We start from the raw sequence: 14,523 nt of genomic DNA on the forward strand, positions 1-14,523 counted from the left end.
TCTCAGTCTTACAACAAATTGCTAATCAGCATGATTATTTGTTATTGAACTCTATGAAATTACCATTATTTTATGCGTCAAAAAATGGTCAAACATCCAAAAGTCTGTAGGATTAAACTCATGTACACAAAGAATTCTATATTGCAGCATGAGAAATAATAACACACTTCATGGCTTAACCTAGCATCCATGTATTATATCACTGTATCTACAGGTCAGAAGTCCAGGCACAGTTCCACTGGGTTCTCTGCTCAGGGTCTCACGGGCTGAAATCAAGGTATCAACTTGGGGGAGTTCCTCACCTGGAGCTCAGGACCCTCTCTCATCTCACATGAATCTGTTTTTGATTACCATCCTAGTAATTTTTAACATTTTATTTTCTTTATTAAGCATTTAGAAAACCACATTAGATAGAAATATGAATTAAAAGGACTTTGTCTGATTATAATACATGATATTATGTTAATTTAACCTAAAGAGGCCAGGTAAATAGCATCCATTAACGAAAAGTGCCTTAAGATGCATTCCAATAGAAATCAATCATTTGCTATCTAATGGCATTGGCTATTTAATAAAGATTCTGGGAAAACTGATTGGATCATTTTATAAAGTAGCTGAATCCCTCTGGGCAAAAGAACAAGCTATAATAATATCTTTGCTATTATCTGGAAGACATTCTGATACATGAATATCAACAATTTAACTTCTCTCCACCCCCTTATTGTTTTGCATAAAAATTTAAATTTACTGTATTTTATAGATGGTTAGAGAACTAAACTGAAGGCAGCTACCTGTCAAAAGTCATGTGCTTCACTGACCCTTTACACAAGGGTAACATGTTTTTATATCAATGTACATGCCATGAACACAGCTAACCTAAAGTGTATGTCAATAAGAAAGAAGATAAGAAATGCTCTTAGTGGTTGCTTCAGCATCTGGCAGAAAAATACCACTTATCATGATGTTTCAAGTTAATTTGTTTTTTTTTTTTGAAGTATTCTTTGACATTATATATAAAACATGTGAAAGGAAACTGATTGCTTAGTAAGGGTAGCTATATCTCCGCTATAGAAGTAATTTAGTTTTGATTCCTTTTTAGGCAAGCATTCAGGAAGGCATTCACATGTAAAACAAACTTAATTACTTTAAAAAAGCGTAGTAAAATATTGTGGAAAAATAGAGATCATTAGTTTTATGTGGAAACTTAGAATTTTCTCTTATTCCAGAAAAGCACACTGAAAAAATAGATTCTCCATTTATTTTCATTTTGTTTCATTTCATCCCCTTTCCTTCCTTCCTTCCTTCCTTCCTTCCTTCCTTCCTTCCTTCCTTCCTCCCTCCCTTCCTTCTTTCCTTCCTCCCTTCCTTCCTCACTTCCTTTCTTCCTTCTTTCCAACTTTCCTTCCACAAATGTTTGTTGAGTCCCTACTACGTGCCAGTGTCCTGGAGACACAGTGAACAAAACAGACATGATTCTTGCCCTCATATTAGGGAAGACTGTTTAAAACAATAAATATGTAACATTGAAAACAAATAATATGAAGAAAAACTTTTGCAGTTAAGGGGGTTAGGCTGATGGGGGTGGCTACTTTAGATACTGAAAGAAATACCTGTTGGAACATTCTGGGGATCAAGTGAAGTGTGCATACTCACTTTGGTTTTCCTAATATACTGAGCACAGGAAAGGTGAGCTCCTTCTCTGTCCTACGCTAGGAATAATGACTTCTCCCTTCCCAGCTTCTCAGGCTCCCCTTTGCTCATTCTAGAGCAAGCTTGTCCAACCCATGACCCACGGGTTTCATAGAGCCCAGGACAGCTTTGAATGAAGCCCAACAAAAATTCATACACTTTCTTGAAACACTAAGAGCTTTTCTTGAAATTTTTAAAAGCTCATCAGCTTTCGTTAGTGTTAGTATGTTTTATGTGTGGCCCAAGACAATTCTTCTTCCAGTGTGGGGCAAGAAAGCCAACAGACTGGACATCTGTATTCTACAGTAAGAAGCCTTGAATTTGCAGAGAACCAAAAGCAGCCCTGTGCCACCAGCTGATGTTCTAAGAGTCTCTCCTTGCCTAGGTGTAGTTGACTAGGGTAAAACATTTACAAAATTTTCTCATGAAGGGCACAAGAGATGATGCAGAGATGGTGCTAAAAAGCATAGTTTACAATAGCCAGTGAGAGTGCCTGGTGAGAAGGAATATTACAGGAGGGCATTTGGAGGGGGCACAGGAGGACTCGGGGTCGAGAAAGAAATGGGAAAGGATCTCAGAGGCTAAATTTCCATATTTTGCACTGCAGCTGGCTGGTGGTAATAGTGTTTTTAATCTCCAAAAATGATCACAGGTTGTCCTGCTACACGTGAAGCCTTAAAGTGTGCACACATGAAGTCATGTTAATGAAATTTATCTAACTGGGGCATCCATGACTAACCATATTTTGAAAACTTGATCAGCTTGGAAAGAGCATTAACTTTTCAGCTACAGGAAATGTGGTATAAGTTCCAGTTCTATGATTTATACACTCTGTGATCTTGGACAACCTCTCACTTTAATCTTAGTTACTCAGTATTTCAATATGCATGGCTACTATATTTTCAAGGTGGAGTGGACCTTTTATCGGTATAGGTAAGCCCTGTGGTGATTGAATATATTCTTTCCCTAATTTTTACCGTGACATGTTTATTTTACTTCATTTTTTCCTTTCTATGCCTGTAGTGTCTTATTTAACTCATCATTTCTTCTATTTCTGGACCATGTTGGATTAGCTATATTTCTTATAAATAGTAACTGGGAATTTTGCCTTATGATTGAATTTGAGTGTTTCTAACTTTTAAAATAAAGTTTGAACAAACCAAAGGGGTTATACGGGAATATTTTAAATCATAATACATCTGGTCATTTTTTAAGGCTCATTCCATTTTGTTATTGTTTCTTTGTCATTTACTTTTTGTTCTTTTCTCATTTTTCTATTTCTATATCACTCAAATTCTAACTTTTGCTTTGTTACAGTGTTGTTCAAATTTATCTTTTCATCCTCATGTAGTAAAGATAGTATGACTTTTTGTGTGAAGTGTTACTTTTCTACTGGACTCTTGTAGAAGGCTTGTTTCATACTGAAAAAAAAAACCAGAACAGATTCTTAGATGTTTAATTTCCAATTAATCACAATAGGGTATTAGAAAGTTTGAACTTTAATCTTTAAGGATGAGTGATTTATATTTGGTGACTTGTAAGACATCAAGTGTAGCAATCTTTGACTTAAATATGACAATATAATATAAATTCTGATTAAAATTTTGCAACCTTCTTTAATACCTTCTTACATATAATCTACTTTTATTTTATGTGATTTTTTTAGGGATGGGGTCTCGCTATATTGCCCAGGCTGGAGTGTAGTAGCTACTCATAGGCATGAATATAGTGCACTGCAGCTCAGGATTGCCTGAGCCTAAGATTCCCAGGTAGCTGGGACTACAGGTATGTGTCACCATGCCCAGTCCTATAGTCTACTTTGTAATGGTATTTTACTTAGTTTATTATGATATTTCATGTCCTAGGAAGTGTGAGATAAGGTATTCATATTTTTCCCTTAAAATGTGCCATATTTTCCATGTGGTTCTTTAATAATGTGCTTTCTTTTTCATATGCTTCTTAAATCTATATTTTTAATTTATATAACCTTTTGGTTATCAATAAAAAGCAGTATGAGAAAAGCATTAAAGAAATGACAAATTAGATATAGGTTACTGTGGATATTTTCTTTTCCTCTTGACAGCTCAAAATCACAAAGACAATTTTCCGAGGTTAAAAAATGGGTCCATTTTAAACTGGAATTGCGTTCATCATTGGTGTCACAGTTGGCAATGGAGTGTGACGGGCGGCTGTTAACTCTAGCAACTTGTCATGTGCCAGCTGTTTTGTCACAACTCAAAGGGCCCACAGGCAAATTCTAAGCTGAAACAATTAAATGACAAACAGAATCATATAAAAATAAGACTGAAAACCAGAAGACCTTCAAGTTTCAGCAATCAACAGAGAAGGTAAACTTTTATGGGGAAGTGGTCACCTCAGAAGAGGTGAAGACTTATTTGCCTTCAGTGTCTTTAAAGAACAAAACCAAACACTGCAATTTTTCATGACAGTCTCTTGATTTAATTCACAAAATTCTTAGTCTAATAAATCTATTGTTCTTTGAAAATCTTATAACCAGAATGCTACAGTACAACAAGATTATTTCAAAGATATTTGTTAAAATGCAATTTCCCAAGAGAAACACCTAAATTATAGTCACAATGTAGTCAGCACTCCTTAAGAATTTTAAGATTAGCACATAAAAAACTGGGAAGATTTTCAGGGCATATTCTTGGACATCATACTTTCAACACCATTCATATTCTAATACAAGTATTATCACTTCAGAAAATATGAAGAAGTGATTTTCTAGTTCTTCCCCTTACTTAAATATTTGAAACAAATGGACTCAGCATCATTTGGTGGGGCATTCACCACTAGTTGACTCCTACATCAACTGGCTGAGAGCGTAAGTGATACTTAACAGCTCAAGGTAAAGGATTAAGAAGCAGGGAAGAAATTTCCCACCCGCAAGGGGTTTCAGAATACCCTGGGACCACCCTTCGGCTCTGTTATTGGATTGGACCAGTCCTTGGTAAGACATTGGCCCTCGTGGGGTCACCTCCACTTTGTCAGCATAGTCAGCATCAATATAACTCTGTTATGACTGTTGGAGTCCTAGGACAGAGCAAGCCGGGACAGTTTCCTTCTTTCAGAGGCCCTAGAGCCCAGAACAGGGTGAGCATGGGACACATTGAGAAGGAAGAAGGAGCATTAGACCAAGGCAAGGAGACAAGACGTGAGATGAGTGCTCAAGCTCTAGGATGAGATAAACCTGGATATGAATCCTGACTCCACTGCTAGCTGTGTAGCTATAGACAAGTTATTTCAACACACTGGGCTGTAGCAGTACTTGACCATAATATGAAGAAAGCGTACCTCCTCTCAATGTCATTACGAGGACTTAATCATATGATCTTCATAGGATTATTACTGGAATTTGTAAGTAATACTTTAATAAACATTCCTTATTATTTTAGCTGTTTCTGTTTTTTGCTTGTTTATCATCATTATCATCAACACCATTTTGAGTTTTTAGCTTCACGAAATCTGCTTCAATTTTTATTTCCTCCAGGAAATACTTTCAGTTCCTCTTCCCTTACAATGTAGGACCTCTTCCACCTTGAAACCCATCTCTATCTATTGATGCTTGCCTTATCTTCCGAGACAGTGCCAACTCACTGAGTATAAAGAACTGATTTTATCTGCATGTCCCTATCATATTTAACCTGACACTTTCACGTATGTAAAGCTCAGTACCAGAGCTTAGTATTGTTTGTGGAATTGAATTGCCACCAGGTTTGGATGTAACATGTTACTGGGCTTAATGTCTCCTCATGTAGTTGCAAAAACGGCTATAGTCATGTGTCATATAAAGACATTTCAGTCCATGTTGGATTGCAGATAGGACAGTGGTCCCATGAGGCTATAATGAAGCTGAATAATTCTTATCGCCTAGTAATGCTGTAGCCATCATAACGTTGTAGCGCAATGCATTACTCATGTGTTTGTGGTGATGTTAGTGTAAACAAACCTACTGCACTGCCAATCATATAAAATTAGCACAGACAATTGTGTAGGGGACATATTTGATAATGATAATAAATGACGATGTTACTGGTCGATGTATTTACTATACTATACTTTTATTGTTATTTTAGAGTGTACTTCTTCTACTTATAAAAAAATTAGGTGGAAAATCAGCCTCAGGCAGGTCCTTCTGGAGGTATTCCAAAATAAGGCATTGTTATCACAGGAGATGGCAGGTCCTTGCATGTTTTTTCCCCTGAAGACCTTCCAGTGGGATAAGATATGAAGATGGAAAACAGTGGTACATTTTTTTATCTGAGGTTAATGGATATGTTTGTGTCTTCGTTTCTAATTTTAAAAAGTTTAAAAAGTAAAATGTAATAAAAATGAGAAATTTCAAAAATCGGGAAAAAGATTAAAGAATATGGATATAAAGAAAATATTTGTACAGCTGTACAATGTGTTTGTGTCTTAAGCTGTGCTATTGCAAGAGTCAAAAAAGTTCAAAAAATTAAGAAGTTTATAAAGTATCAAAGTTGTAGTCAGTTAAGGTTAATTTATTGTTGAAGAGAGAAAAACATATTTCAATAAATTTAGTATAGCCTAAATGTATAATGTTTATAAAGCCCACAGTCATATACAGTAATGCCCTAGGCCTTCACATTCACTCACCAGTCACTGACTTCCAGTTCTTCAAGCTTCATTCATGGTAAGTGCCCTATACGGCTGTACCATGTTTTATCTCTTATACTGTTTTCTTGATATATCTTTTCAACGTTTAAATATGTGTAGATACACAAATGCTCACCACTGTGTGACAACTGTCTTCAGTATTCAGAATAGTAACATGCTGTACAAGTCTGTGCCAGGAGCAATAGGCTTTACCTGATAGGCTAGATGTGCAACAGGCTGTACCATCTAGGTTTATGTAAGTTCACTTGATGGTGTTCGTGCAATGACAGAATCATGTAATCATGCATTTCTCAGAAGATATTCCTGTTGTTAAGTGACATGTGACTGTACAGCGGACCCTGGAAAACACAGGTTTGAACTGTGCAGGTCCAATCATATATACATGGATGTTCTTCTGCCTCTGCCATCCCTGACACAACCAAACCAACCCCTCCTCTTCCTCTTCCTCCTCAGCCTAGTCAACACGAAGACAAGGATGAAGGCCTTTATGCTGATTCACTTCCACTGAATGAAAAGTAAATATACTTTCTCTTTCTTACAATTTTTTAACTAACATTTTCTTAACTGCTAATAGATTACTGTTGACTGGAAGCCTTAACCATCACATAGTCAATTAACATACATTTTGTATGTTACATGTATTATATACTGTCTTCTTACCTTATTATAGCTCCAATAGGGGAAGAGGTGGTATTGAAGGGGCCTGGGACTTAGGAAACTTTCAAGCTAGTGACTCAACAATGATTAAAACTGTATTAGCAGATTTATTCTGCGATAATTTCTTGACCCTTGAGAAGTAATTGTAAAGTACCCATGTCATAGAATAAAGCTGCATTACCATGGAAAAGAGCAACTTTTGTCACCAACATTATTAGAGATGTGCTAGAAATCCAATTTCAATTGGATATAAACATTAATGTTCTTCTATTAACATCTTAATCATGAAATAAGGTGTCTTAAATTATGAAATTATAAAATGCCAAATCTGGATGTCATCTAATTCAATTATCCTCTTCTTATTTCTTTAAACAGAGAAGAAGGCATAGACTCAGAATAAGTTTCCCAAAACATACATTATGTTTTTCAAGTTGCAAGCGTTGAAAGCCCAAATCAAATAAATTAGTTACAACAACAACAACGAAACCCCCCAATAACTATAAAACCTAAGAGCAATGCTGTATTCAGGAATAGCTGCGTTCAGGAGCCCAGACATTTTGCAAGGGTTTTGATTCTCTACACATCTCAGGTCAATAGTCCCCTCTTCCCTATGTTGGGTTTCACCCTTGAGCTCTGAGTATGAGCATGGTGACTGCAGCAGCTTCTGCTTCACATGCTTCAAGGTCCAGATCCCACAGGAAAAAGTTCTCTTTTATGTTACCATCTACCCGTGGCTTCACAAAATGCATGAAAATTGCTTTAACTAGACTTGCTGTAGATAAAGTCCCCACTTCTGACCCAATCCTCATGGCCAGGAGAATATAAAGTAGCGATTGGCTTAGATGGCATATAAAGTGGATATTTCATTCTTAAAGTTGGAGGTGGGACTTAGATCTCCTGAGCTAAGAGAGAAGGAAGGACCTCCACAAGCAAAAAATGAGTGAGCTATTACCAGCAGAAAGTAGATTCAAACTGAGGGAGTAAATAACTGTTAAGAACTAATCCAGACAAACAGCCAGCGTGTTCCTTTCACTAAAATATTGCACCCCTTAGAGTCTTTATATAAAAAACATATATACTCCATGCATGTGGTAGGTAGTATATTATTCTCCCATACTTGATGCCTCTCCTGGCAATAAAACTATACTCAGGTGAAACCAGGGACTCACCTTGTGAGCAGAGATACGTGACCCATCTGAGTAGACCCATCAAGGGCCAGCACATGGTCCACCAAGTTTGCTCTTCTTTCTGCCATCATGACCCATAGTACTTCTGCTAGAAGACTTCTCCATCAGCCTGGTTCCCAGAAGTGAAGATGAAACGGGGTACAGACACAGGCAACCTATGAAACACATAGGACATGAGAGAGAGGGACCTTTCTTGATGTGTTGCCCTAAAATTTTAGGATTATTTGTTATCAAAATATAACTTAGCCTGACTGATAAACCTCCTGAAAAGGATCACCAAATTTATTTATCTTTTGGTATTTGTAAACCAAGGAGAATCTTTTCCTCTACTGCTTTTCTGATCTCATTTTACTCCAGAAAAGCTAGGCAAATCAAGGGTTATTTAAATTTAATATAGACTATTTTTGTATATAAAATTAACCATCTTTCACTTCCAGTTCCAAAATGGCGTCACAGAAACAAGTCAGTTTTACTGCCCCCACCGAAAACCAAAAACAAATACACCACATGGCAATTATCATGAGCAATATCCCAGAACTCAAACATGAGAATGAGAGAGTTCCTGGTGTCACAGAGAGATGTAAAACTCTGAGCAGAACAGAATCAGACTCCCGTATCCACAAGTCCCCTATCCCTTTTCTGCCCAGGAAAAAGTACAGTGACAATTTCCTCCTAATTCACAGGTTCTACACTGGAAAAAGTGGGATCAAGGTGGACAACCAGCTTCCCCAGCATCTTGGACTCCCTAGCAGAAACTTTTCCCTGCCTCAACCCACAGGAATCATTGCTAGTGCCTGAAGACAGAAATATCTCTGGGGACATTCCGAGACAAAGTGGGGAGGCAGCACTATCACACCCAGTCCCAAAAACTTTGCTCTGTAACTTGGCCAAAGGAGAAGTGAGATCAGAGTGTCCATGTAACAGCAGAATGATGCAGGAAGGTTGTTCTACAGGCCCTTCGGCAGGAATGCCTAGCTGGCCTTCCCACACTACCAGGATATTACCTTTGGGACCTCTGCCATTCAAGATGGGCACAGTTTGATATGTTACTAGCTCCTAGGCAAACGTGAGCTTAAAGCAGCATCTAGGGCCTAAAAGGAGGCATCAACCTTGTAGGAAAAGAAAGAAAAGCAACAGGTAAATTACAAAGAATATGTAAGTAAACATACCCAATAAAAACCAAAACAAGCCAGACAAAGAAGACTGGAATAAATAACTCATCCTTTAATGCAAAGACATAGACATACATCCACAAGAAACTACAGCAAACAGGGACCTCCTTAAATGGACAAAGAAAGAAACCAGTGGCTGACCTTAAAGAGACAACAACATGTGAAGAGACAATCAACAAAACAAAGTGAAGAGACAACCCACAGAATGGGAGAACATCTTTGCAAACTATCAGTCTGACAGAATTAATAAGCAAAATATATAAGGAACTCAAACAATTCAATACCAAAAAAAGCAAATAATCTGATCTTTTTAATTGGCAAAATATCTGAATAGATATTTTTCAAAAAGGACATGCAAATGACTGAGAAGTCAATGAAAAGTGTTCAACATCACTAATCATCAGAGAAATGCAAGTCAAAATGAGATATCATCTCGCCCCAGTTAAAATGGCTTTTATCAAAAAGGCAGGAAATAAGGGGTGCTGGTGAGGATATGAAGACAGGGGGATACTTGTACACTGTTGGTAGGAATGTAAATTAGTGCAGTCACTATAGAAAACTGTATGGAGGTTCTTTAAAAACTAAAAATCCAACTTCCATATGATTCAGCAATTTCACTATTGGGTATGTATCCAAAAGAAAGAAAATACATAGAGGACATACCTGCACTCCCATGTTTATTGCAGCACTAGGGACAACAGCCAACATATGGAATCAACCTAAGTGCCCATCGGTGGATGACTGGATAGACAAAATGTGGTATATGTACACAGTGGAATATTGTTCAGCCATAAAAAAATGAAATCCAGTCACTTGCAACAACATGGATGGAACTGGAGGTCATTACATTAAGTGAAATAAAACAAGCACAGAAAAACAAATATTTCATGTTCTTATTCATATGTGGGAACTTAAAAAAAAGTGGATCTCATGAAGATAGCAAGTAGATTGGTGGTCACCAGAGGCTGGGAAGGGTAGAAGGGAGGAAAAATGAAGAGTAGTTGATTAATGGGTGCTAATATACAGTTAAATAGAAAAAATAAGACCTAACATTTGATAGATGAGTAGCATGATTCTATTGTTTATTTCAAAATAGCAAGAAAAGAATAATTTGAATGTTTTTAGCATAAAGAAAAGACAAATATTTAAGGTGATGTATACCCAATCACACTGTATGGCAGTTAATATTAGGTGTCAACTTGATTGGATTGAAGGATGCCTAAATAGCCGTATTGGGTCTGACTATGTCTGTGAGGGTGTTGCCACAGGAGATTAACATTTGAGTTACTGGACTGGGAGAGGAAGACTCACCCTCAATGTGGGTGGGCACCACCCAATCAGCTGCCAGTGCAGCTAGAACAAAGCTGGCAGAAGGTGGGAGAAGAGGGCTTGCTGAGTCTTCTGGCTTTCATCTTTCTCCCATGCTGGATGCTTCCATCCCTTATTCCTGCCCTTGGACATCAGACTCCAGGTTCTTTGGCCTTTGGACTCTTGGACTTACACCAGTGATTTGCCGGGGGGCTCTTGGGCCTTGAAGCTGCACTGTTTGATTCCCTATTTCTGAGGCTTTTGGACTCGGACTGAGCCATTACTGGCTTCTTTCCTCCTCAGCTTGCAGATGGCCTATTGTGGGACTTCACCTTGGGATTTTTTGAGTCAATTCTTCATAATAAGCTCCCCTTCATATATGCATATATCCTATTAGTTCTGTCCCTTTGGAGAACCCTAATATACACTGATTTGATCTTTATAAATTATATGAAAGTATGATATTACCCCATATACCCCAGAATTATGTACATCTATTATGTCAATAAAAAATTAATTAAAAATTTTCAAACTCTTCTTGCAATAAAAATAATCAACTGTCAATTTTCTCTATGTCTTATTTGATGTATGCCCCCTATAGTTATGTGACCTTGGACAGATCCCATAATCACCTTAGACTATATCACAATTATATCACAAATAATATATTATTTATTTGTGAAATATCACATTTGATCACTAGATGATGTCTAAAGCCACTCTGTCAATGAACATCTACAGTTCCATGAGTTTATATTCTGCTTTCCTTCATAGCAATTCCTGTAATTTGTAATAATCCATCCTGTTATTGTTGCTTTTTGAAGTCTCTCTCTCTTCATACTAGATTATAAACTCCATGAGGGCAGAGACCATCTCTGCCTTTTTTACCACTATTAGCTCAGTATCCAGTAGAATGTCTTAGATGTAATTAGGCAAATAAAGTTTTTATTTGTTTGTTTGGCTTTTATTACAAATGTTACATATGCCTTTGGTTTTAATGAAACATCATCTAGATTAATAGCTTTAAACAGGCATGACCTTGCTTTTGTCCAAGCTCAAATGTCTGTGTGCATGTCTAGACATAACACATAATATGTATTCTATATGTATACATTTTCCTTGAATTGGAAATATGCTTTGGTGTTGATAGTTTAAAATCTATGCAAATCATTCTATCAAATCATTGTAAATTAAAAAAAACTACTAAGCTCATATGTCTGGCATGCTAAAACATGTAAAGTTTTATGAGTTGAACAGAGGGTAGTAATTCAGTGATGGGTACATATTTTTAGATGATTTTTGTAGCTCAAAATTGATATGAAACAAAATATTACTAATGATAGTTGAATTTTTAAGCAGTTCCGCCTTTTGCCTCTAGATGTCTCACCTGGAATTCCCATTGTATAATAGAAGATCTTCTGATGCAACACCCCACTATAGGGCTTGGCTGAAATGTCATCTTGGGAACTCAAAGAGTAAACCATGTGAATTTAACTGCAATTGGGTCAAAACATTCCATCAGTATTTTTTTAACTTTCTGGAAAAATGCAAATAACAGATGGTGGGAGAATAGGCAGATTTATGAGAAAAGTGACTTTGTATTAGTCATTCTGATGAGCCACATCCCAAGGAGCCCTGCCTTTTTGGCTATGATGAACAGTTTCCAGGTGTAACCCCTGGTGTTGGGAAAGTAATATTTAAGACAATGGCCATCAGCCCATCTTAAAAGCTTTTTTTCCACTTCAAACATAATTTATATCATTTATATCCCAGTTGGTGAGGTATGGAATTCAACATATTAATATATGACTTTAGGATATGACTTATGTAAGAAAAGTAATAATTTTACCCTAAAAAAGAAAATATTCTATGAGTTCAACCAAAAACAAAGTAACAGTTTTATTTCTTGAGAGGATAGGAAACATTTTGGCAATGGGCAGAAACAGGAGTTTATTAAAATTTGTGAACATACGTAATGAGACATAATTCTCTTGTAAATATCCCTATTAGTAAAAATGTTTCCCAATACCATATGTTATATAGATTGATATATACTATATGTGCTAATACTATGATAATATTTAGTCTATAAGAGAAAAGTGAAAAACAAAAAAAAAACAGATGGCCTGAAATGGATTAGAAGTAATATTCTGTTTCAGGTGACATTCAAACTACTTCAAAGTGGTGTAGAATATATTCTATTTGGGTGTCTTTAGATATGCTGAGCTTCTACCACAAAATCTACATTTCTCTAAAGTAAGGAAGAAAGGGATACCTTTTCATCCCTGAAATAGTTCTGGCCAAAACAGACAATTAGTATTTATTTGTTGAGAAAAATGAATGAATGAATGAAAGGGGAGCAGAATCTGATTATTTTCTTGCATATTTACTAAATAAATGCTTGCTTTCTTTGTAGTTCTTAAAATTATACTAGGCTTAAGTTTCTATGTTTTTTAAATTTCGTTTGTTTTATTTCAATTTTTAATTATTTTAATTTTTGGCAAAACGTATGATTCTCAAAATATGTCGTATAACTAATCACGTTGATAGATAAAAAATAACCACAAGCAAGCAACCACACAAACAAGCAGTGTGCCCCACTTTCCATCTGCTTTTGTTTTATTTTCACGAGTTATCTTTTTTTTTAGTTGATTCTAGTCAGTTTGGGTCACTTAAGTTACATGTAACAAATACTGTATGTCACTTTTATATTTAAATATATTTTCAAAGAATCATCGCTAACTACTTAATCATCTCTGAATTTCGGAGCCTGGCATGGAAATCTCTCCCCAAACTAGTTTCATCCTCCTTATCTAGTATTTTCTTCCACACTAACAATTGAAAAAACAAGCTAAGGTCTCTCCGCCTAATTACCTACTGTGGTAAATAATTGTTCAATTCAATTATTACCTACTTACTTCATATGCTTGTTCTGGTTCACTCAGGTAGATGTGATCAAATCTATTCCTACTTAAGAAAATTGAAGGACCATTATTTGCCTAAGGTCTTAACCGTCTGCCTAGACTTTAAAGTCACTGAGGTTAGCAACTGTGACTTATTCCTAGAAACACTGTTTGGCCTTCAACAAAAGTTGGTAAAAGTAAATTGAATTCCATTTGCCAATCTACCAGTTAAAGAGAGACATATGACTGACATTATCAGTGGAAGGAGTAATGGTACAGGTCTAATAAGCTCTTAATGAGAAGTAGAATGTCAGTGATAAGAGAGAAAGAGAGGCACAGAGAGAAGTTTGTGAAAAAAGAGAGATGAGAGAGAGTTACAAGAGGAAAAGAGGAACAGAGGGACAAAGAGGAATGGAATGAGCAGCAAAAAGGATAACTGGGCTTCTCCCTTACCCCTGAATAGTATTGTGTCTGGTATCTTCTGTCTCAGCTCTCTCTCATCTTTCGTATTTTGTATAATGGCGACGTTTGGGCTTCCAGTGAACCCATCGCCCAATAGTGAACCGACTTCTTCTTAGAAGTTCACTGGGAACCAATCAGCCTTTAAAGTCTTTGGGAATCTAGCCGGGAGCCAACCAGGGATCAGCCCCTGCTCTGCAGGTCCGGAGAAGAGAGGAGGGTGAGACAACTACCTCACCCTGTGTCCCTTCCCTTGCACAATTTGATATTCTAGTAGCTTCAAAGGTCCTTTTCTCCCAAATAGTATCCACTTCTCAGAGCATAGACTGAGTGCTTGGTCCACAGGGCAGCTGGAATTCTCTAGGAGGCTACAGATCAAAATCCAGGGGCTTACACTTGCCTGTAAAGTTGGAAAGTATTTAAATTTTAAATCATTTGTGATCTTGGATGATTCACTTACATTCTCTTGGTCTCAATTTTCAAATT

The 14,523-nt window shown here is 36.7% G+C and overlaps 2 long non-coding RNA genes across 5 annotated transcripts in view; one reads left to right on the plus strand and one right to left on the minus strand.

The window, feature by feature from the left end:
* The window catches only part of LOC107985992 (uncharacterized), a 118,146-nt gene extending 106,907 nt beyond the window's left edge, over window positions 1-11,239 (plus strand). Inside the window, exons 2-3 of the long non-coding RNA XR_001739907.2 lie at window positions 6,805-6,866; window positions 8,879-11,239. This is a non-coding gene — a long non-coding RNA (uncharacterized LOC107985992). The remainder of the gene's footprint in view (window positions 1-6,804; window positions 6,867-8,878) is intronic.
* LOC105373914 (uncharacterized) overlaps window positions 1-14,112 on the minus strand; it is a 211,043-nt gene extending 196,931 nt beyond the window's left edge. For 3 of the 4 annotated variants that reach the window (XR_007088108.1, XR_007088109.1, XR_007088110.1), the window contains exons 1-2: window positions 14,032-14,112; window positions 8,178-8,350 (exon numbers count right to left, since the gene is read on the minus strand). This is a non-coding gene — a long non-coding RNA (uncharacterized LOC105373914). Of the gene's footprint in view, window positions 1-8,177; window positions 8,351-12,062; window positions 12,170-14,031 lie in introns of all 4 variants that reach the window. The other variant, XR_007088111.1, reaches the window with a different exon arrangement.
* Window positions 14,113-14,523: the final 411 nt, after the last annotated feature.

The sequence above is a fragment of the Homo sapiens genome, chromosome 2 (genome assembly GCF_000001405.40).
Source record: "Homo sapiens chromosome 2, GRCh38.p14 Primary Assembly".
In the NCBI taxonomy this organism is placed as follows: domain Eukaryota; kingdom Metazoa; phylum Chordata; class Mammalia; order Primates; family Hominidae; genus Homo; species Homo sapiens.